This window comes from Homo sapiens, chromosome 1 (genome assembly GCF_000001405.40).
Source record: "Homo sapiens chromosome 1, GRCh38.p14 Primary Assembly".
In the NCBI taxonomy this organism is placed as follows: domain Eukaryota; kingdom Metazoa; phylum Chordata; class Mammalia; order Primates; family Hominidae; genus Homo; species Homo sapiens.
Window position 1 is genome coordinate 218,354,068 of NC_000001.11, and position 24,820 is coordinate 218,378,887.

A 24,820-nucleotide genomic window follows, 5' to 3' on the forward strand; every position below is an offset into this window, starting at 1 on the left:
TCTGGGCTGTCTTCTTCATTGGTTTGTAGACTGCCCCAGGAACAGAAATCAAGTCTAACTTATCTATATTCTTATAGAACTTAGCATATTGTGTTTGATCAAGGAATGTTTGACAAATGGATGAGCATTCCCTTTACAGAATGAGATTGAACTACAGGAAGAAGAAGAATCTGTGAGTTCAAAGAGGTGTCAGGGCCAGGAGATGCGGAGAGATGAAATGTTCTGACCTTCATTATCAGGGAAAATGTGTCTGATGGGTCATGTCACTATGCTAAAGAGCACAGGGATTCTCATAACCATAATATTTTCTGTTTCCAATTCTCAGATAATAATGAAGGTGGTGATAATGATGATTAAAGCTAACCTTTATTGAGGACTTTTTACAGGCCAAGCATAGCTAACCTTTATTGAAGACTTATAAACCAAGCATAGTTTTAAATATTTTACATATATGTACTCTTTAATACTCACAAGCAATCCTATGAGGTTAATACTCATACTGTCCCTTTGACAGCTGAGGAAATGGAAATAGCTATTTCTATTAGTGATGTGTTATGGAAATTAGACTTTCAGCCACCACAGGTAATAGGAGCCCTAATACAGAGCCCAGGAAATAGAGAGCATGACCTTTCTTGCCTTCTTGATAAATGATGTAATACATCCATGGAAGAATGGTGGCTCTCCTCTGTTAACAAGAATTACATTCACAAGCACTGAGAAAATATACCTCTGAAGCACACAACCTGGGTTTTTTTTTCTTGCCTCTTAACACATTCAACTTTTATTTCTGCACTTAATTGATACAAAAAGTGTGATTTATTAAGACTTTGGTTGTTTCTGTTTGTTTGTTTGTGAGACAGAGCCTTGCTCTGTTGTCCAGGCTGGAGTGCAGTGGCACCATCTCAGCTTACTGCAACCTCTGGCTCCCGGGTCCAAGCAATTCTCCTGCCTCAGCCTCCCAACTAGCTGGGATTACAAGCATGTGCCACCACGCCCAGCTAATTTTTGTGTTTTTAGTCAAGATGGGGTTTCACCATGTTGGTCAGGCTGGTCTCGAACTGATCTCAAGTGATCCATCCGCCTCGGTCTCCCAAAGTGCTGGGATTATAGGCCCGAGCCACCGTGCCCAGCCTTGGTTTTGTTTTTGAACTGCAATCATTTTCCTCACAAAAATTTTGATAAATTTTATTGATAGGGCATTCCTATTTCAGAGAATTAATTTATTTGGGAAGGCAAGATGATATACAATGAGCATGATGACTTTGGAGCTGGACAGACCCATTAAATAAAGAAAGGAGAATAAATAAAAGGGAATTGTACCAAAGGAATCTCAAAGGCTGAAATGGAAGCGGTAACATCAAAGACAAGAAATCCTACTCCAGGCCTGTGGCAGTTGTTAAAGAGTGGTCCTGTTTTGGTTAGCAACTTGGCTCTCTCAGTGCAAGTCATTAAAACTGCCTCATTGATATTTAAGTTGCTTCCTACCGAATTCAGATCTTGGCTCTGCCACTGTCGGCTTTGCAGCTGGATTTGAAACCCCTTCACTTAGCCCAGCCTCAGTTTCTTCATTTGTAAAGAAGAACATCGACTTTCTAGGGGTTGTAAAGGATGATGTGTGTGAAAAAGCACCTGGTGCAGCTGCTTCTGGCCTTCTTTCCACAGCAGCTATTATTCATCGAATCTCATTGACTTTAAAATGCACCACTATTTTATGTGCCACTAACAAAGAAATATCACTGCCCATTTAACTATTAGTTATAACATTAACTAAATGTCACTGCCAATTAACTCAGCCATTGATTATAAGAGAGAATCTGGATTTTAGAAATAATAGAATATGAAAAATATATAGAATCAGTGAAATCACATAAAGGTTTGTGAAATAAAGAATAGCGGTCTATGTGCACATGGTATAGAGTGCTATAGCAGAAGTACATGGAAAATGAAATTAAGTGGAGGCATGACATCTGCCCTCAGAAACGTTTTCTAGTTAATGAATGTTAGGAGCCCATCTGTGGAATCAAGAACAGGAGATCCACATAGTATATACTCCTCCCAGCCAGAGTCTTGGAAATCAAAATTTTTTTGTTTTTATTTTATTTTTGACATCTCAAGATTTACCATTTGTTTCAAAGGGTATATAAATTTTTAGGGGAATTTTTTTTTTTTCGAGACAGTCTCACTCTGTTGCCCAGGCTGGAGTAAGTGGCACAGACATGGCTCACTGAAGCCTCCATCTCCTGGGCTCTAGTTATCCTCCTGCCTCAGCCTCTACAATAGTTGGGACCACAGGCATGCACCACCATGCCTGGCTAATTTTTTCAATTTTTTTGTAGAGCTGGGGTCTTGTCATGTTGTTCAAGCTGGTCTTGAACTCTTGGCCTGAAGCAATCCTCCTGCCTCTGCCTTCTAAAGTGCTGGGATCACAGATGTGAGCCACCGCACCCAGCCGGGAAAAATTATTTAAACTATTTGAACTGATCTCTGAAGGTTCATATGTGTCACATAGTACTTGCCTCTTTATTTTTCTGGATCCCAAAGTCCAAAATCAAAGAACAGAGGGGATGTTGCCTATAAAAGACTGACATGCAGGCGGGGCTTCTATGTAATGTGCTTCTGGGGCTGGTTTCGCTTCTCCTCACAGGTGTCCTGTCTCTCATCACTTCCACTGGTTGAAAAGAAACCAGGACATTTGGAGTCAAGGCTGAGGCAGGTCAGGCAGCTGTGGTTATACTCATGTAGACCTCATCTCACCTCCGCAACCAAGCACTGGCCACAGCCGCCTCTTAGCCTTCAGGCAATTCATTTTAAAGGCGGCTTTAGCAATAGTATGACATTACGGTGTAGAAATCTAAAAGAGGAGGCCGGGTGCAGTGGCTGGCGCCTGTAATCCCAGCACTTTGGGAGGCTGAGGCGGGTGGATCACCTGGGGTCAGGAGTTTGAAACTAGCCTGGCCAATATGGTGAAACCCTGTCTCTACTTAAAATACAAAAATTAGCCGGGCATGGTGGTAGGCGCCTGTAATCCCAGCTACTTGGGAGGCTGAGGCAGGAGAATTGCTCGAACCCGGGAGGCAGAGGTTGCAGTGAGCCGAGATTGCGCCACTGCACTCCAGCCTGGGAGACAAGAGCAAGACTTCATCTGAAAAATGAAAAAAAAAAAAAAAGAAATCTCAAAGAGGAAGCTGGATGAGATGAAGGGGAGGGGCTGGTCGAGAGTAACTGCAGAGGGTTTGAGGAGTAGAAATGATATCAGAGAGGGGAAGCCACACTAAGGCCTTGGGTAGTTGTTCACAGTGCAACATATTCTCTCAGTGAGTTAGCATCCTGGCTTTCCTGGGGCAACCCAGTAACACCACTTCAGTGATGTGGAAAAACATTGCTGTCCAAGAGGAATTGAATTCACTGGCTTTAGTGTCTGTTAGGAGGGAAAGCCTCATCGTGCTGAGAAAGCGGTCCTCCCTGGGCCGGGACCATCCCTTCATTCTCTCAAATGAACGCTTGGATTTGTTACTGCCTGATAAGTCAGAAATGTTTGGCTTAGATGTTCCCTCAACCACAATGACTTGAGGAACTTAAGGCAAATGGAAAATGCTTCCTGGATATTGTAAAGTCCAAACCTTCTGGAAATAGTTTGAATGCATTTCCATCCCTCCACAGGCAGCTGTTTTTCTCTCACACTAGCATGTTCCACTAGCGTGTCCCCGTCCCTCAGGCCTTCCAAGCTATCTATATGTCGGTAATTATGAAACAGGTTATTTCTGAAGAAGAGACGCTGCGTTTCTGAAGAAAAAGTCATGGAGTAGCTATTTAAGAATAACACTGGTCTTTTGGAGTTGTTGTTTCAGGAAGTACTGTAGTATCTTTTTGGTCTTCTGAAAGAAAAAGAAAAACGTTGTGACTGTGACTTTGGCTCTGTTTATTTTACTTTTCTTATCTAACCCACACGACACTGACAAATACCACATCTGTCTTGACAAGCTAGTTTGCAAATAACTATTCATTCATAATTTTAGGCTATTGTAAGAATCCTTATTTGTTACTTCATCTTGTAAGCAAGAATGCAAAATTTGGTTTTGAGAAAGACACTGAAATGACCGCAAGTCCACTGGTCTTTGCAAATCTCTCCATCTGAAAAAGATGACTGTGTACTTTTTAGTGGATTTTCAGAGCTCTAAAATATTTATTGTTGCCAAAACATAGATGGGAATTTTCTGAGAAATATAATTTAATTTTAAAGTTTTGGATTCATTTCAGTGTTGGTAATGTCAGTGCTTCTTAGACCAAGTTTATCAGGGATTTTTCTGTTTACACCAGATGTAGCAGTAACTTTGTCATTTCTTCTATTTTGATTTTTTTAAAATATGATCATTTATTCCCCTATCTATTGGCTTAATCTCATTTTCACTTATTTTCACTTTTGCTTTGACATCTTATGGCAATATGACTGCAGTTGTTTCTACTTCCTTTATAGTGAACTCTTTTTTTTTTTTTTTTTTGAGACAGAGTCTCGCTCCGTCACCTAGGCTGGAGTGCAGTGGTGCGATTTCAGCTCACTGCAAGCTCTGCCTCCGGGGTTCATGCCATTCTTCTGCCTCAGCCTCCCGAGTAGCTGGGACTACAGGCACCCCCCACCATGCCCAGCTAATTTTTTTTAGTAGAGACGGGGTTTCACCGTGTTAGCCAGGATGGTCTCAGTCTCCTGACCTCATGATCTGCCTGCCTTGGCCTCCCAAAGTGCTGGGATTACAGTCGTGAGCCACCGCACCCAGCAGTGAACTCTTGTAATAAAACTGCTGGCTTAGAAACTCCAGAAAAGTGTGAATGACTTATTCTGATTCTACTTTAGACAGATAAAGAAACAATCACAGATGGAGGACTTTTCTGTGCAAAGGATGGGTGGTTTGGTCAAGGAACGGTCCCCCCAGAGGTCAGTCAGGGCTTTCTGTGGGGAAAATGTTTCTACATTCAAGTTCATCCTTGGCATTTTGGGCTCTGCAGGTTAACGAGAGGGAGACAGAGGAAGGAGTGCACCAAACCTCTGACTCCTACCTGGAAGTAGCCAAGCAGAAGCAAAGCTGAATAATAGCCATGACCTCAGGCTCTGAAGCAGGAGGTTCCACCTTCAGATGGATCTGTTAAACTTCACCACCCTGGGTTTCTTGTACCTGTCTTCACTGTTTTCTGTCTGAGATATCTTGAGGCATTTTTAAAACATTAAGTTGTTTTGGATAGTAATTTAGTCACTCATTTGTATCTCTTCATAGTATTAAGCCTTAGGTTATTATGTGTGTTAACTAAAATCACTGATCGGATCTCTAAACTAAGTCCTGAACTGCCATGATTCCACCTACTAAACTTACACTTTTCTTCTACGTAGAATGAGGTGACCGGTGCTAGTTTGTCCTGGAGAGAGAGGTATTTCAGAAGAATTCCACTGTCAGAAAATATCACCATCAATAATGAAACTATGTGTGTAAAGTCATGTCTAATTTTATTAACTGTTTGTCACAAGTACTCAGATTATAGAAAGAGGGTCTTGATCTAAGCTGACCCTGAATTGTTATACATTTGGATCAGTTTTCCCTTTCTTGCTGAGAATTCTCTAAGAAGAGTAGAAACTCATTGTAGTTCAGTGTTGGGAGGAATGATTGTACCCACTTACAGAGTTGCTATATCACAAGAGAGATGCATTGTTTGTTTGTGTGGAGAGGCTGGAGGGATTAGGGCAGGAGCTTATTTGATAGGGAGTTTAGTTGTACATTTGTAAGACATCTAATTTTACTTAAGATATCATTGCAGTAAGAATGGCTTTATCTCTATCCTATAGACCCTCACAGTAGACAAAACCACTACCTACTCAGAACAAATAGCCCTTATGAGGGAATAATTTTTCCTTGATTCACCTGATTGGATTGTTTTGAGGTCAAATGAGGTTCTGTAAAAGGCCTTGCTAACCTGTAAGGCATAATAACCTGTACCAGGGTTCTCAAATTTTACCATGCAAAATAATTACTGATGTACCTTTATAAATGTAGATTCCCAAGCCTTTGTCAGCCACTCCAATTCAGATTATAATTCAGTTCGTTTTAAGATGGGCTCCAGAAACCTGCATCTTGATAAGGCGGCCAGGTGATCCTTGTGCAGATAGTTCAGAAACATACTCTGGAAACACTGTGTATTTTTGTTTTGTTGCTTTATTTCTTAGCTGTGTCATTGCAGGCAAAAATAAACCCCAACATTGTTACAGTTAATTAACTTCCTAGTCATTTAATTACTTTGTAAATTACCCATGCGAAGTTTTAATTCTAGGACTGTTTCTATTTTATGACTTGTGTTACCCATAGTCCCCCATCATAAATTAGTGAGTGCCTGCGTTCTTCTAAAAATATCAGGTTTCTCACATGCACGTAGTGAGGGGAACAACACACACTGGGGTCTGTCAGTGGGGATGGGGTAGGGAGAGCATCAGGATTCATTGCTAATGCATGCAGGGCTTGATACCTAGGTGATGGGGTTGATAGGTGCAGCAAACCACCATGGCACACGTTTACCTGTGTCACAAACCTGCACATCCTGCACATGTATCCCGGAACTTAAAATAAAATAAAATAAAATTTAAAATAAAAAAAGTTATGTTTGTAAGACTATAAATGCCTCAGATTTTGAGAATTCTTTACATTTCTTTGTTACAAAGCCTTTTCGCATATATCCAAAGCCTCACTGTTCTAAACAGAGTGTATCCATACCTCAGTGCTGCTTCAATGATGTAGATGATTGAAAACTGATTTTTTTTCCTTTTTCTGAGACAGAGTCTCACTGTGTCACCCAGGCTGGAGTGCAGTGGTGTGATCTCAGTTTACTGCAACCTCCGCCTCCTGGGTTCAAGCGATTCTTCTACCTTAGTCTCCTGAGTAACTGGGACTACAGGCACGTGGCACCACACCCAGTTCATTTTTGTATTTTTAGTAGAGACGGAGTTTCACCATATTGGCCAGGCTGGTCTCAAACTCCTGACCTCGTGGTCTGCCTGCCTCGGCCTCCCAAAGTGTTGGGATTATAGGCGTGAGCCACCGCGCCCGGCCTGAAAACTGATTATTTTAAAACTAAGGTTTGCTTTCTGTAGACTGAACAATCATTAGCATCCTTACATCTCTATCTCATTCATGGTCTTAACTTCTAAGGCATTGGATCAGCACCAGAGCTCCCTGTCCTCCTGCCTTACTTAAAAACAAAAAAGAAAGAAAGGAAAGAAAAGAAGGGATTTTAATGCTGTTTTATAGCAGAGTGAAAGTAAACCAAAGGTGCATACTTGAGAACTGCAGGCTGGAAATTGCAAGTGACAATAATTACCTCATCTTATTCCCACACAGACTTCCTATGACCTGGGTGACCTTGGGATCTGAATTCTGTTTAATAGAATTGTCCCTCTTCTGCACCACGGCGTACACTGGCCTGAAGAAGGTGCTGTTTCCCAGGAAAAGCACTTAAATCCCCCCAAGAAATGCATAGGGCCATAGTTTGAAGAAAAAGTATTGCTAACCAAGTGACTTACTCTGCATATTCTACCTTTCTCTGGTTGTATTCTTTGAGATTTTTATTTAAGATAACTTTCAGCATCTCTTTTTAAAGGTCAGATACGAATGAGAAAACTTTGTCTGACTTGTTAATCTTGTGACAAACCGTTTATATCCAGTGTAGCTTCCTGTCTTTGCTGACTGGTTATTTGAGGGAATTTTCTTCCTGTAAGACTGTGGAGAAGCCTCTAAAAATAAACAGCATGGTTTCTTATTGGTGGGAACATATGTGAGCAGATGTCAGCTGGAAGCAGCATATGGTGGCAACATGATAGCAGTATGTGCTTATAGAATCCCCGCTGTTGGGTCTTCGTCTTCCATGCCACACTGGCCAGTCAGAGCCCCATATCTCAGTTAAAGAGTGTTCCGCCTAGAAGGTGTAATCCACACATTTGTGAAAAATCTGCCACTGGGATCTTGATAGTGGGCTGAATATTGGACATGGTAAGTTCCAGAGTATGGAAAAAGTCTTTGTTATCCATTTAAAAATCAAGTGATAAGAGGCACACATATGGCAAAAATAAAAAATAAATCAAGAGAAGAGTCCACAAAGCCTTTGTCTTGTGTTGAAAGAAGTTTTCAAGTCAGGTCTGAATAGTGGCAGTGTTACTTCTAGAAGACGTGCTCTATAAACATGGAAGGTGCATGGACTCCCAGTGTATGAAAGGAGCCAGGAAAGAATGATATTCATGCCAGGCCCTAATAGGCAGTCAGGGCTTCTTTTGTCACACAAGTTAGACAACTGCTCATATTCCTTGACCACCTTTTGTCTGTCAGTCTGTTTTAAATATATCATCTCATTTCAATTTTATAAAAACCCTCAGAGGCAGGGTTACGTCTGCCTCATCTTACAGACTTCTCCATGGATTCACAGGAAATCAGTGACAGAACAGGGGTTTGAATTAACATCTTCTTCTGCAAAAATTCTATATTTTTATTGACCTTACCACCAATGGAAAAAGTTTTGAACACTCAGCAATATTTCCTCTTCAATTTGAGATATTTTGTGGGGGAGGGGGTGTGCTTTCTTTTCTAAGAATATGGTGGGCAAAATACAAATTGGGTTGCTGTTACTTTAAAGAAAGTGAAGTTCAAATTTTCCAGATGTAATAACTATTGTGGAAGATGCGTTTAGTCCATTTCAGAGAGCTCTAGCTTTTTAAACTGTAGGTAAGTAGCCCCAAACCAATATTCACTTGTATTTTTGACTCATTCAAGAAGGAGTTTTCACATGCGGGTTAGAAATGATGACAGGTGGTTTTAAGAACACTGAAATCTAGGCCAGCCAAATGAAAACCAAAGTTTTATTCTTAATCGGTAGACTGTCTTTTGTCAAAGGAGGTCAAAGCCTTTCTTATTCATCTTTAATATAAATCAAGGTATTTATTTTACCGTTTCAGTATGTAAATTGTACTCTGTTATTTTAACATTAGAACGTGCTAAAGGGAAAACTGAATTCAGGAGTCTGACTGCTGGTTAAGGGATGCCAGAAGATCTGGGACTAAAATCTGGAATCCTCCTTAGATCCTCAGTGTCTAATCCCCTGGCCCCAGGTAGCAGGGACCTTATTTCTGGGGAAATGATAAGAACATTCAATGAGTCCCTCTTCTACTTTGAATCTTTGTATAGTTCTGTGCCAGGCATCTCTTCAGTAAAATAGCTAATGACTGTGCTTTTTAAAACTCCTAGCTGTCTGCCCAGTTGTTACAACACCCTCTGGCTCAGTGGGCAGCTTGTGCTCCAGACAGTCCCAGGTGCTCTGTGGGTACCTTGGTGAGTACACTTGTCTGCTTTATTCCTCGTTTGACATAGTTATATCAAATCCATCTTTAGTGTTTGTCTCCTGTGGGGAACTTGCCAGAGGCAAGATGAGATTCTGAAATGCAGCCTTGTACCTGAGCGATCACAAAGGTGCCTAGAATTTTTTTTAGTAAGAGTTTACATGAGAAAAACTGATGAATAGCTTTGAAGTAATGCAATGACTATATTGCAGCATGTAAAAGAATGACTTGTGGGGATGAGATATGTGTTTTAGGGGTCACAGAGTGATTTGACATACACCTTTCCTGATCCCCATGGAGGCCACTCTCTGGAGGGTTGGACAGCATGGCCTGAATGTCAAGGGAATGTTCCTTTTTATATCTTTATTTGTATCTATGTTCTTGTTCTTGACACATAGTAGTTGCTCAATTAATGTTTCTTGTCCTGAACCAAAGTGAAAGGAGATTTTCTCTCCTTTAAGGTTCTAGAGCAAGCTTGTCCAACCCTCGGCCTGCATGCAGTCCAGGATGGCCTTGAATGCGGCCCAATGTAAATTTGTAAATTTTCTTAAAAAATTATGAGATTTTTTTTTGCAATATTTTTAAAGCTTATCAGCTATCGTTAGTGTTAGTCTATTTTATGTGTGGCCCAAGACAATTCTTGTTTTTCCAGTGAGGCCCAGGGAAGCTGAAAGATTGGACGCCCCTGCTCTAGAGGGAGACCTGTCGGGGAGTTATGCTGCTGATTATTTGTGACCTTTGTATTGACATGTCTCGTTTGCTTAAGGAAATGGATCGTCATGGGTCAGGCCCTCAGCCAACTGGACCTGTGAGCTTGCCACTTGCTCAAACCACTTAGCCCTGACCCTCGGAGCAGGTGCAAGCTCCTCAGAGCCAGCACCAGGTGTTAGGCTGAGGGGTACAAAAGCCAGAAGTCCTCAACCCTTTCTTATTGGGAACACTGATTAATTCAGCCATTTATTGAATGCTTACTATATGCTGGACGATGAGTCCACAACAAAGAATAGAGCTTGGGTGATCCTGACGCTCAAGGAATTCAGTGGCTAAAGTTATCCCTGAACCATGCTCAGGAAAAAAGGAAACAGACTTGCAATCCTGGCATTGGTTCACTGCATATTTTTGAGGCCCTGAGAAGGTTTGGATTATGTTGATTCTAAGTGTGGGTGGAGGTCCCGGCTAGAGACAAAAGAAATGTTTTTATTATCCTAGGAAAAGCCTAGGTCACTGGATACCCTATTCTGCAATGTATCATGCCTACACATTGTTGGTTAGAAATCAGTATAGTTTATTTACAGTGGCCTAAGCTGGGGTTTCCTCAAAAAGAACTCATTCTGTTGAGAATATACGTTGATTTTAGTACAGAGAGCCTCAAAGTGGCTACAAGCTGCAATGTGAATAAAAAGAGTGAAAAGTTTAATCATGCCTTTAAAGCTCCCGTTTGTGAGTCATTACGTTTTGTTTTTATACTCTAAATTCTAATTTTATTTCACTAGCTCAACCAAGGAGTTAAACATCTGATTTTTTCCCCCTAGCTAACTGGCTATTTGGAAAGGAAAACGGGAGGGAATGAGAGAAAGAAAACATTTGTTGAATACCCCCTATGTCCCTGGTACTTAAGACACATCATCCTAATTTTCCCCACATTGGTTGGTCAGGGAGGGCCAGAATGACGATCCCCATTTTTTAGGAAATCGTGGTTTGGAGAGGTAAACACCTTGTCCTTGGTCACAGAGCTGGCTGGTGACAGAGCCAAAATCTGAATTCAGGTCTGGCCCAGATGCCACCATACCACAGAGACCCCAAACTTTTCCCCCCTTTTTTGGCTTTTCCTTTGGAATCCTGTCCTGTTAATTTTGTAACTTTCTTGCCTACTACTTGGGATTAATTTCCTTTTCATCTTTTCCTCCCATAGTAAACAAAGTGAGAGGCCTACCCTGGTTCTTCGGGCGGTTTTTCTTCTCAGACACTCCTCACTTGGGGTTATTTTCGGTCACTTAATTGCTGCGAGCTTCTGTCTTCCTTTGGTGAAAAAGCATTGGAAACCCACCCTGCTCCTCAGCGAGTCAGGGAAAATCAGGAGTGTCTGAGGGTGTGGAAGGGGAGATGGGGCGCAAGCTCCACATAGATTCCCATAACAGTGGGAGGCTCTTCCACCTTGCCTAGCTCGCAGGCTCTGGAAAAACCCTGCAGACCCCTTTCAGACCTTCCCTGCAAGGCTGCTGAGCAGTGGGGCTCTGCATTTTTTTTTTTTTTTGTCTCTGTTCTTAGAAATAGTAATTGAGTAAAAATGTAAGTGAGTGTATGCCAGGGGGCAGGCATCCAGGGTCAGGGTGAATTTCTCCATGCTGAGTGTGATTCTGAACACTCGTTAAGTGAAGTTGGCCTGTGCCAAGCAGCTCCAGGGCCATCCCTGTCACCTTGCGTGAACCGCCTCTCCATTCCAAGGAGATGTTGGGAGCGGCTGAAGTGAGCGTGAGGCCTGTGGCGCCTCTTGCTTTTCTCACTCTAACCTGGGTGTTGTTGATAACGACGTGTTCTGACACTGACAATTGGACTGGCAGCTCTGATGCTGCATCAGCTTTAAATTAAATACCCTGGAGGAGAAAATAGTCCATGCTCCTCACAGCCATGTGACTGCGAAATCATTTTTCTCTTTTCAAGCTTATTATCCCCAATAATATTGGTTAAGATGTGGTTAGCCTGCCTAAAGGTTTTCCTATTAAGACATAAGAATCCAGTGTGTAAGCAGTAGAGATAAGTCTCTCTATGAAGGAATGGATTAATAGTCATGAAGGCAAATATAATTTTTTAAAAAGAGTATTTACTGAATAAGAGGCTTTTAAGTAACTTGGTTAAGATTTAAAGGTGGTATTTCTCTCTCTCTCTCTTTTTTTAGAGACAGAGACAAGGTCTCTCTGTTGTCCAGGCTGGAGTGTGGTAGCATGATCATAGCTCACTGTAACCTCTAACTCCTGGGCTGAAGCAATCCTCCCACCCCAGCCTCCTGAGTAGCTAGGACCACAAGTGTGCACCACCACACTGGCTAATTAAAAAAAAAATTTTTTTTTAGAGATGGGGTCTTGCTATATTGCCCAGGCTGGGCTCAAACTTCTGACCTCACACAGTCCTCCTGCCTCAGCCTTCTGAAGTGCAGCGATTATAAGACATGAGCCACTGCGCCTGACCCGAGGTGGTGTTTCTCAAAGTGTGATATGCATTTCTGTCTCCTGGGACATCCATCAGATTTCTTGGCCCCATTTCAGAGCTGCCAAGTCAGAATCACTGGGGTGGGTGGAGCTGAGGACTCTGCACATTTTAAACAGGCACTGCAGGTGCTTCTGACGTCACTAAAGTTTGCAGCTGCTCAAGTCAAAGGATGCTCTGATTATGCACATCTGTTTACTCAGTCATACCACATGGATGGATTCAGATCCAGTGGACTCTCTGTTTGATCAGCTGGTCCTTCAAGTGTGACCCTGAACCTACAGCCCCTGTGGAGTTTTTGCCACGTGCTTTCCATTTTCCCAAATGCAGGCAAATATTGAGGTAGTTTTTAATAATATTACTTGTTATTAAGAGTACCACACATACCCTCTGCTCACTGTTCATCACAGAGGAGAACAATGAGTGTGCAAGGAAGTAAATTAATCGTGTGTGGGTGTTGGATGTTATGTATTTCTGCACTCAGATGCCTTCAACCGGGCAACGGTGGAGTGGGGAAGGGACTTTCAAAGCTAGTGTTTAATGCATAAGTGACACATACCATGTATAAGGTAATATGTAATTCCCTGAGGTAGCATTTGGCCAAAGCGCTGCTGACCTCTTGGTGGCCTGAATCGTGTTCTGAGACATTCCATGGGGTAAGGACCTAGCAAACAATGGAATGTAAACTTTACTATCTCAGCCAAACTCAGCTTTGGGTAACTGCAGGTTTCTCTTTCCAAACAGTGTTTTGTTCAACCAGAGGCATTAGAGCAGGCAAGAATCTGACCAACCTATTAAGAAGCAAAGTTAATGATAAATCACTTGGTATTTTCTTTGTGCAACCCTGTGCCCCCTGGTATTCTGATGTTTTTGAACCACCTAATACTTTGAAGACAACTGTACAGTATGGATATTCTATAACTACCGTAGATTTTTTGGCTATTGAACTATTTACAGAAATACCCAGTTCTCGTATGTGGTCTACATCACTAAATAATCTGATTGAAGTGTGAGAAGAATGACTTGATAGTGTTCATTTTACCTCCGCATAAGTCTTCAGTTAAAAGAGCTGTACATTAACTGCAAATACAGATATAATTTTAAGATAAATGTCAAATGCATGTAGAGACCTTTGGAAGAGAAAGGTGAAGAGAGGACGTTCATTTTTTTTCTTCTTCTTCTTTTTGAGATGGAGTCTCGCTCCTCGCTCTGTCACCAGGCTAGAAGGCAGTGGTCCATCTCAGCTTACTGCAACCTCCGCCTCCCAGGTTCAAGCAATTCTCCTGCCTCAGCCTCCTGAGTAGCTGGGACTACAGCCGCACGCCGCCACTCCCAGCTAATTTTTGTATTTTTAGTAGCGACAGGGTCTCACCATCTTGGCAAGTATGGTCTCGATCTCTTGACCTCGTGATCCGCCTGCCTCAGCCTCCCAAAGTGCTGGAATCACAGGCATGAGCCACCGTGCCCGGCTGAAGAGAGGACATTCTTATGATATATTAGTTCATTCAGCTGTATTTATTTTATTTTATTTTGAGACGGAGTTTCACTCTTGTTGCCCAGGCTGGAGTACAGCAGCGTGATCTCGGCTCACTGCGACCTCCACCACCCGGGTTCAAGCAATTCTCCTGCCTGAATCTCCCGAGTAGCTGGGATTACAGGCACACACCACCACACCTGGCTAATTTTTAGTAGAGACGGGGTTTCACCATGTTGGCCCCACTGGTCTCGAACTCCTAAACTCAGGTGATCCACCCACCTTGGCATCCCAAAATGCTGGGATTACAGGCATGAGCCACCGTGCCCGGCCTATTCAGCTGTGTTTATTGAGTATTTACTTGTATCAGGCAGCAGTCTAGCTGCTAGTGAATTGAATAGCAAAAATCCTTGCCCATGGGGAGCTTACATTCTGGTGGCATAGGATAGATAATCAATAATAAAGATGAAATAAGAATTTAGAATTGGATAAATGTTTTGCAGGGGAAGTAGAGATTGGTCACAGGGATGAGGATGTGAGGTGTAATTTTATATAAGCTGGGCATGGATGAATTTGTTAAGAAGGGAGTGCATGTAAGCAGACACTTGAAGGATGTTAGAGAGTAATCTGGGACTACCTGGGGAAGGGCATTCTATTCTGTTCCATTCTGGCAGAGGGAATAGCTGGTTCTGTTGTGACATGTTCAAGGATTGTCAAAAGTATCCTAGGGATGAGATTAGAGAGATAATGAGGGATAAGTGATGTGGGGCCTTGTAGGCCATCATCAAGTCTGTGGCTTTTCCTCTGACTAAAACGGAGAGAAGAGTGGTTTTAGCCAGAGGGCCGTGTAGCTGTTAAGAATGGTATGTTGGGCCGGGCACGGTGGCTCATGTCTGTAATCCCACCACTTTGGGAGGCCGAGGCGGGTGGATCACAAGGTCAAGAGATCGAGACCATCCTGGCCAACATGGTGAAACCCTGTCTCTACTAAAAATACAAAAATTAGCTGGGCATGGTGGCATGCATCTGTAGTCCCAGCTACTCAGGAGGCTGAGACAGGAGAATCACTTCAACCCCGGAGGTGGAGGTTGCAGTAAGCCGAGATCGTGCCTCTTCACTCCAGCCTGGGCAACAAAGCAAGATTCCGTCTCAGAAAAAAAAAAAAAAAAAAAAAAAAAAAAAAAAAAAAATGGTATGTTGAATGGCCAAGGTGGAAGTAGGAAATTCAGTGAGGAGGTCTTCGTGATGCATCAGGATGGCACTTGGCAACTGCATTTCTATAGCAAGAATCTCAAACAGACCTGCCTTATGCTGAGTTTTTCCTTTAGCAAACAGTTTGATAGGCAGGCTACAGTGGGTTTTGTATTTAGAAAATGTTTTTCTGTTTGATGGTTTTTAGTTAATAGTCCTTAGTTATTGGCAACTCACCCCCTTCCTTTCTGAGGAGCAGCCAGTTCTGCAGCCTTCTGTGTGTGAAAATAACCCCTTGGGTCTCCCATCTTGTGCTCACGCATGTGGAATGGCAGCTACTGGAGTTCGTACTCGCGGTGAAGCCTAGTCATGGCCGTCTTTGACATGATGGCCAGGGACATGTGGCACTATACCCATAGCTGACCATACTTTGGCCTAGGAGAATGTCAAACTGCCTTTTCCGGTGTGAAATAGAAAGTCAAGCTTGGAAGGATCCTTCTTTGGATCTGTCCAGCTGTGCTCTGCATGCAATAGAAGGGCTTTTGCCTAAACTTTGAAATGAGGTCATAAGCCAGAGAATTTGTAAAACTATGTCTCTTATCAGTCAAAAAGAATTTCTGTGGGACTGAAGTTTGCTTTCTAATTCTTAAGCTTTGAACAGGAAGACTTTACACGGGGATGTTGGTGTTATTTCTTCATCCATCTGTACAAGAAACATGAGTTGAGCCTACTGTGTGCCAGGTGATAGGTGTAAGAAAACTGCATAGATCCTGTCCTCAGGGAGCCTGCACTTAGTGAGGAAGTCAGGCAGACTAAACCAACCAAACAGAAACAAAAAGCCAACCCTGTGGTTGATGACAAGGAAAGCATCTGAGAGGCCAGAAAAAGAATTGTACAACTTGGCCTAGTGGTGAAGGAAGCCTTACTGGGGGAGATGATATTTACCTCTTGAAAGATGGCCTTTGAGATTGTAGTTTGGTAGTCATCAAGCAGCAATAGAAAACTGCTTATGTTTTCTGGAAGGAGATTTGCCCCTTCATGTAATTTCTTTCTCTGTGAGTTTGCATGACTACTGTCTTAATGAGTCATGAAACACCAAGAAATGCTTAGTGTGGTCTTTGAAAAAATTGATGTATTTTTACAAGGGAACAACTTTGAAATACTGAGACTAGAGAATAGGACAATATGGTTACATCAAGTATTTGTTATTCAAAGTTGATATATTCAGAAGACATAATGGGCCTATTGTATATAAACATCCATGTGATGATATAGTATACTGGGACTCTGGAATTTGGCATTATTTTATAAGCTCAGGGTCACTGTCTAGAGCTTTTCTCTCAATCTCAGTGAGTGATAAACAGCACAGGTTTCTCGCACGTTCATATAGATGGCCTTGTGGGATGGCTGTGGCTCTGTTCCATGAGCTCTTTATTCCAGGACCAGGGCTTAGGGAGCAGCCCCTAACCCAGGCATGCTGACCTCATGGCAGAACCAGGAGATGTGGCAGTTGTCTTTACCCACATTCCATTAGCCAAAGCAGGTCACATGGCCACACATGATTTCAGTAGAGTAGGAATTGGGTACAAGGGAGAGAGGCTGTGGGGATGGGCCCAGGGGAGAGGGACAGCCAGCATTTTGAACAAATGATACAGTCTACCACAGTGTAGGTGGAGGAGTTGGGGAACAGGGAAAGGTTTCGCCCACTTTAAAAAAACTTTCTGGCTGGGCGCAGTGGCTCGTGCCTGTAATCCCAGCTCTTTGGAAGGCCCGGTGGGAGGATCACTTGAGCCCAGGAGTTTGAGACAAGCCTGGGCAACATGGTGAAACCCCATCTTTACAAAAAATACAAAAAATAGCCGGGCCTAATGTGGCACGTGCCTGTGGTCCCAGCTATTCAGGAGGCTGAGGTGGGAGGGTCACTTGATCCCGGGAGTTGGAAGGTGCAGTGAGCCGAGATCGCACTACTGCACTCCAGCCTGGGCGATAGAGGGGAGACCCTGTCTCAATCAATCAATAAATAAATAAAAATTTAAAAACAGAAAAGAAAAACTTTCTGTTTTGTGGATATGACATGATTGGATCCACACTATTGCTGTGTCTGTGGGAATATGGGGCACTTTATTGAAATATGAATATTTACTGCATATTTGGTTGGTTTTATAAGACATGCATCATGTTATTTCCCTCCATTTTCATTAATGCCATTCTCCTCCAATCAAGATGAGTTTATCTATTTTAAAAGGCCCTGTTGGCAGTACCAGGTTTCTAAAGCAAGTCCTGATACGTTATATGGAGTTTATGTATGTCCGGCAGACTCTGAAACTCAGGCTTACCTCCAAAGCATGCAGTGATATCTTTGAGCCTTAGGTCCTAGATTGTCACTCTGGTCCTGATATGTCTGGCAGTGTCTGATAGATGTTGTCCACAATAAGAATTCAGGCGAGTTTCCATGAGGTTCTGTAGATGTTTAGCTGTTTGCCAGAAGGAGCATGGCTTTCCTGTTTCTTATCTGTCTTGTGCGAGTTCCATGCCATCTTAAACAGTGTGTACCATGTAGTTCCCTAGAACCCCATCTATAACTTGAACCTTAGTCTCTTGAGAATGACCCACCAGGGTGATTGTTTAGAGCCACGTTCCTACCTGTTGTTTCCGGTGAGCAAACTGGAAAGTAACCCTGCCTGGCATGGGGTGTCTGCTGTGTAACCCTCAACACAGTGACAGTGATCTGCTCTGACCGTCCCTGAGCGTGCTAGGTAGCTCAGGGCTTGCAAGTTCATAAATAATTATCTCCACAGCCTATTCTTAGTAGCAACAGATGCTGAGCTTTTCCAGCCTGCTCTCGGGGTCAGTGGTGGGAAAGAGAAGAAAAAAAATGAAAGCATTGTTTTGCACATGGCTGGACATCTGTATTTCTGAATTGCCCTGTTGTGTGTATGATGCAACTGCTGGAGCTGTTTTGCTGAATGTGAACTTTGTCAACCGACTGGAGTCTAAATTGGTTTTGGATCCCTCTGAAATCTAAATGGTCAGACCATATTTTTCTAATATTCAGCTGGATTGTATCTTTGCTCTGAAGTGGAGCTGACTTCGTATGTGTTCACAGTGGCAGCAGGGGTTGCTTCTCTGTTTTCCTGGTCTGTGTTGTTTGTTTTCCCAAGACTGCTGCTTACCTTGTCCATTGTCTATACTCAGGAGACCAGGAAGGTAACTCCCTATGGAACTGTGGCCACTGGGACTTCAAGGATCGTTAACTCTAGTGTTATTGTTAGGAAGAGAGCAGACTGTTTTTCAGAAATGAAACAGGTGAAGCACCAAGAATAGCTAACCTACTAGGTGCACTGGTACCATGGCAAAGACTTGGACTTGGACTTGGGATATCCAAGCACTTAGGTTCTTTGTTGGGAGCTTTGACAGTCAAGGCTGATGTTTCTGTTTGGTAGCTGTAGTGCAGAGGTTCTCAACTTCACTATGTATCAGAATCACCTGGGGAGCACTTAACATATTACTTATATTACTCAGGCCAGAGTCCAACTCCAGAAATTCTGACTCCGTTGGTCTGGAGTGGGACTTTGCATCTTTAGTTTTAGAAAGTTTCCCGGCTGGGCACGGTGGCTCACGCCTGTAATCCCAGCACTTTGGGAGACTGAGGTGGGCGGATCACCTGAGGTCAGGAGTTCAAGACCAGCCTGATCACCATGGACAAACCCCATCTCTACTAAAAATACAAAAAATTAGCTAGGAGTGGTGGCACATGCCTGTAATCCCAGCTACTCGGGAGGCTGAGGTAGGAGAATCGCTTGAATCTGGGAGGCGGAGGTTGTGGTGAGCTGAGATCGCGCCACTGCACTCCACCCTGGGCAAAAAGAGCAAAGCTCCGTCTCAAAAAAAAGTTTCCCAGGAGATTCTAATGTGCAACTGGAGTTGAGAACCTGTATTTTGGAGGCTTACAAAGCTTTTAATAAAACTGTGTGGCTGTGTCTAGATATCCATGTTAGGTTTTGAGTGAATTTCTGCATGAAGAAAAGACATCTATTTGGGTGGTGATGTTGATGGTTGGGGCAGTGGATCCTGTCTTTTATAACAATATGATTAGTAATAATAATATGACTAATATGATTAGTAATATGATTAGTAATAATATGACTAATATGATTAGTAATATGATTAGTTATAATATGATTATATTACTAATCATATTGTTAATAATACTAACTATCAGTTATGGAATAGTTATATTAGGCTCTGGGCTAATCTCCATATTAGCACTATATATAAACACTATTATTATTCTAAATTTTATAAATAAGGAAACTGAGGTGTAGTAACATCACGTGTAATTTCCTCACGATCACACAGCTGTCTGACTCCAAAGCTCATCCTATTCATCACTCCTCCAAGATGATTAATTTCCATTTAAATAAGGAAAATGTGGATTAAAGAATGAGAAGTCTAAAAAGGAGAATCCTCTGAGTGAGAACCATATGCATCTGTATGTGTCAGGGCATCATTCTCTTCTGATAAAAGGAAAAAAAAGACAAGTCTGGATGTGTTTCTTTTTTTCTCTTAAATGCAGTATTTTTTTCCTAAGAACCTGTGAAAGTTCAAGGCAGGCAGTAGAACCCAAGGGCTTGCATACTGGTATTGGAATTAAGCAGTGGCCTCTGAGCTTAGCTCATGCATGCTCTTCATGTTCCTCATTAGAAGAATGAAAATAGCTTCTTATGTGAATCTATATGGAGGATGAGTGTGTGCTTACAGTTATTTTCTTGTCTAGGCTGGGTAATAATTAGAGTGGGCAATATAAACTCCAGTGTTTTCATTTTGTTCCCTGAATAGGACAACTGTTTTGTTGTTGCTTTTGTTGTTGGCAGATTTGTAAATCAGAGTACATACTTCTTACTTAAAGGACTGTGTTAATTCTCTAATGCCTGTTAAAAGATTAGAATAGTACCAGCACCTATCAATAAGCAGGATCCTGGAAATTCCATAGCCAGTTCCTGATAGGCCCCATACTTATGAAGGAATGTTACATTGAGGCATCCAATAAATATTTATTAAATGAGAGAGTGAATGAATTTTTGCACATATGTACCATAACAGAAATAGCACCCCACGTATTGCTAAGGACTTCTTGGGAAAGGAGAGTGATTTTAGTCAATTGCTATGCTCCCAGTTTCTCCACGGGGCCCCCGTGGTCTGCTGACCAACTCCTAATTGCCTACCAGAAGCAGTTCTCTGTACACTAAACATAGCAATATTAGTAGGCTTTTAAAAAATCTTATCATCACAAGCTTCCGTTTATATCTCTCAGCCTTGATGAAAGGAAGCTGACTTTTGCTTTACTCTAAGTAGCATTCTTCATATTACAAGTTAGAAAAAGTTCTGTTGTCCCCAGGGCACATAAGGAACAGGAGAGAAGTTGCTTGCCAGCCCATGTGAAAGATGAGAAGCCCAACTTGGATTCATTCATGTCCCCTGCTACAGGGACACCTGGATGAGACCCTGCTCCCTCTGTGAGTTCAAACTGCTGTCACTGGAGTTATAAAGGGACATTTAGGCTTGTGTTCTTGGGTCTGTAGCCAGACAGCACAAGTATTTTTAGGGCTCTTTTTGTCTCAATCTGATTTCTGCTTGAAACTTTAACACATGCAGGCTTCACTGAAATACTTTTAAACTACTCTCTGGGCAGTGTAGGAGGGGTTGGATTAGTACTACAGCCTTTAAACAGTTCAAAAAAAGATTTTTTTTTATTGCTAAATATCCAACAGGCTGAACGGAGGAAATTCAAGTCTAACCCTGGAGGGACCCCTGTTTAGTCATCTGTCTAGACAGACGAGTTCATATAATGGGCCTCTATGTTTCTTTTGCTTTGTATAACAGACGGTGGTCCCTTCCTTTAAACTTTGTGAAGATGTCAACCTTTGGTTTTTTTTATCCCAACCTGCTGTTGATAAGCCAAGAAAGTGACTCACACATGAGCCAACAATAACTCTTGAGTGTGACAATTAGTCTTACAATTGAGTAGCAAGAAAATATAGGATTTGCATACAGGGGACCTGGGTAAAATCCTGACTGTGTAACATCGAGAAAGTCAGTTACCCTTTCTGAACTTTTTTTTTTTTCCTAAAATGAGAGTTAATTAAAAAAAAAAAACCCAACATTATTTCTTAATGGTTCTTCAAAAGAAGAAATTATCTAACACAGAAAAATGTTTTTCACATGGTAGAGGCTGAGTAAATTGTCATTCATTCAATCAATCATTTTAAGGTGATCATTGAAGACTTTAGCATTTTTGCTTTCTTATTCTGAAAACCATAGAAAAACTAGAAATTCTAGCCCATATTTTAAATCTCATGTCAGCATACATTGAGAACAGCGAGTGCTTTTTTTTCAGTCTAGAAAAGAAGAAAAGTGGTACCAATTTCTGTGAGAGGAAGATAATATTGGAGATAGTATTTTAAAATACGGGATATTGAGGGAGGAGGGAGAGCATCAGGAGGAATAGCTAATGGATGCTGGCCTTAATACCTAGGTGATGGGATGATCTGTGCAACAAACCACCATGGCACGTTTACCTATGTAACAAACCTTCACATCCTGCATATGTACCCCTGAACTTAAGAAGTTGAAGAAAAAATATGGGATATCTATAATTTATATTCATAAGTTGAATGTATAGAATCAAAGGGAGGATTGGTGGTTGCCAGGGGCTGTAGCGAAGGGGAAATGAGGAGTTACTAATAAATGGGCCTAAAGTTTCAGTTGAGCAAGATGAATAAGATCTAGAGAGCTGCTGCACAACGTCGTACCCACAGTCAACAATAATAGATTGCACACTTAAAAATGTGGTAAGTGCGTACATCTCCCGTTAAGTGTTCTTACACAATAGAATTTAAAATATTGTTAGAAGTGAATAAGGCAGAATGACATTCTTTATCTTGTTAGGAGGGCTGGAAGCTCAGACCTTGCATGAAAGGACAATGTGTGTTAGTAATGATTTCTACAACCAGGCGGAACATCAGCCACCTCAATTCCTTGTCATTTCACTTTAAGCTCTGCCTGGATGGTTCCTGAAAACCATGACCTACAAAATTTTGTTTTATTCTATTTAATTCAGTTATAATTCACCAAGCATATACTGCCTTAAGAATTTGGTGCCTGAATTATGCAGATGAATAAAAAATGAGATAGGTAGGGATGAGTCCCTCTTGGAAGAGGCATCACCAACAGCTCAGAGAGTACTAGGACCATACAACCTAGGTTTAAGTGGAGGCCTTACTGTTTCCAGTTCCATAGCACCGGGCAAGTTCCCTCTTTAAGCCTCAGTTTCTTATCCCCCACCTAAGTGGGATGAATCCAGATGTGTACCTGACAGCTGATGTGCTCCCAGTAGCTAGTAACATTGCTTTTGCTGTTATGCTTATTCTTTTTATTGTTATTACTATATTATCCCTGCCCTCAAGTAGCTTATAGCCTATTTGTGGAGACCCATTTGTACACACTACCCTGCACAAAGCAGAAAAATTAAAAAACTGCTGAATGACATTTACAAGCAAAGTTCAATCCAAACACATAGGAAGATGGTTGGTTAATGAAACCAGCTTTGTTTGTTTTGAGACACGGTCTTGCTCTGTTGCCCAGGCTGGAGTGCAGTGGTGTAATGATAGCTCACTGCAGCCTTGACCTCCTGGGCTCAAGTGACTCTCCCACCTCAGCCTAGGAGGTTAGCTGGGACTACAGATGATGCCACCACACCTGGCTAATTTAAAAAAAAAAATTTTTATAGAGATGAGGTCTCACTTTGTTGCCCGGGCTGGTCTCAGACTCCTGGGCTCAAGGGATCCTCCTAAAGTGCTGGGATTACAGGCGTGAGCCACTGTGCCCAGCTGAAACCAACTTTTAGGAGAAGCAGTCCCTACCATGCCTAGAACAACGTGTATTTCTTAAGTGCTTAGCCACAGCCTTAAAGTGAAAGGGAAATAGAAAAATCAGCCTCCTCTTTAGCTGGTACAGGACAGAAGCAAAACATAGATATCTATGTTGATAGCATAACTTTTCACATTTTGTAGTATAGTTCATGACATTCTCAGACACTGAAATTCCATTGGAACCCAGTGCTTTACGTGGCTTTGAATATGGTATGTGTGAGTCATGTCTCTTTCAATACAACTGCAATCAATAAAAACCCCAGTAAAATGTGGTTAACCACAAGGGCATCCCTCCCCACCAGCTCCACCCCCAAATCAGCACTATGATTCATTCAATGTAGTCCTCCTCCCCCTAATGTATTTTACATTGGGAGATACTTATGCTTCCTCAGCACAAAAATCAGAAATCCTACTCTTCTGCTGGTCGCCTGCCCCTATGTTGTGCCGTCTTGCCCCACCCCCGACCCCTGGGAAGTCCAGTCGTGGCCTATACCCTGGGTAGCTGTGGCTGGGGAGAAACTCTGCCCAGTTTCATGCAGAAGCAGGACAGATGCTTCCAAAGGATGCAGTCTGAGGTCCCAGAAGACCTTACTGAGAAAAAAGTCTTTTCTTCTTTCTTACTAATATAACCCCAGCATCCATCTTCCTGTGTCTTCCTTAAATTGAATCCTGAGATGAGGCTTCCCATTTGCCACCACCTCCTTCGTTTTAATTCATTACATATATTATAGTGTGTTTGTTTGTTTGTTTGTTTGTTTGTTTGTTTTTGATACAGAGCCTTGCTCTGTTTCCCAGGCTGGAGTGCAGTGGTGCCATCTTGGCTCACTGCAACCGCCGCCTCCCGGGTTCAAGCAATTCTCCTGCCTTAGTCTCCTGAGTAGCTGGGATTACAGGCCCCTGTCACTATGCCTGGCTAATTTTGGATTTATTTATTTATTTATTTATTTATTTATTTATTTATTTAAGATGGAGTCTTGCTCTGTCGCACCAGGCACTCTATGAGTGCAATGGTGCGATCTTAGCTCACTGCAACCTCCGCCTCCCGGGTTCATGTGATTCTCCTGCCTCAGCCTCTCGAGTAGTTGGGATTACAGGCGCCCGCCACTGCGCCCAGGTAATTTTTGCATTTTTAGTAGAGACGGGGTTTCGCCATGTTGGCCAGGCTGGTTTCGAAGTCCTGACCTCAGGTGATCCGCCCGCCTCGGCCTCCCAAAGTGCTGGGATTACAGGCGTGAGCTACTGCACCCGGCCATTTTTTGGGTATTTTTAGTAGAGACGAGGTTTCACCATGTTGGCCAGGCTAGTCTCGAACTTCTGACCTCAAGTGCTCCTCCCCCCTCGGCCTCCCAAAGTGCTGGGATTATAGATGTGAGCCACCGTGCCCAGCCTGTTCATTTTGCTGTTGAGACAGAGTCTCACTCTGCCACCCAGTCTGGGGTGCAGGGACCATAGCTCACTGCAGCCTGGAACTCCTGGCCCCAAAGGATCCTTCCGCCTCAACCTCCTAGAGCGCTGGGATCACAGGGGTGCTACACCACACCCGGCCTGTTTTTTTTTTCTTATACAGAAGGGACCTGAGGAAACAATATGCATTGTGAGTGCACACCAGAGGGATAGAGAAAGGCAGACAAGGAAAGGAGAGGAAAGGCGGGTAATGGAAGA

General features: G+C 42.5%; 1 protein-coding gene across 4 annotated transcripts in view; it reads left to right on the forward strand.

The window, feature by feature from the left end:
- Positions 1-24,820, forward strand: part of TGFB2 (transforming growth factor beta 2) — a 99,284-nt gene that overhangs the window by 8,732 nt on the left and 65,732 nt on the right. For 2 of the 4 annotated variants that reach the window (NR_138149.2, NM_001135599.4), the window contains exon 2: positions 9,267-9,350. The exons of the other annotated variants lie outside the window; for them this stretch is intronic. Coding sequence is in view for 1 of the 2 variants with exons in the window: in NM_001135599.4 (NP_001129071.1) it covers positions 9,267-9,350 (84 nt within the window). In the remaining variant the exon portion in view is untranslated. The remainder of the gene's footprint in view (positions 1-9,266; positions 9,351-24,820) is intronic. 4 annotated transcript variants of the gene reach the window in all.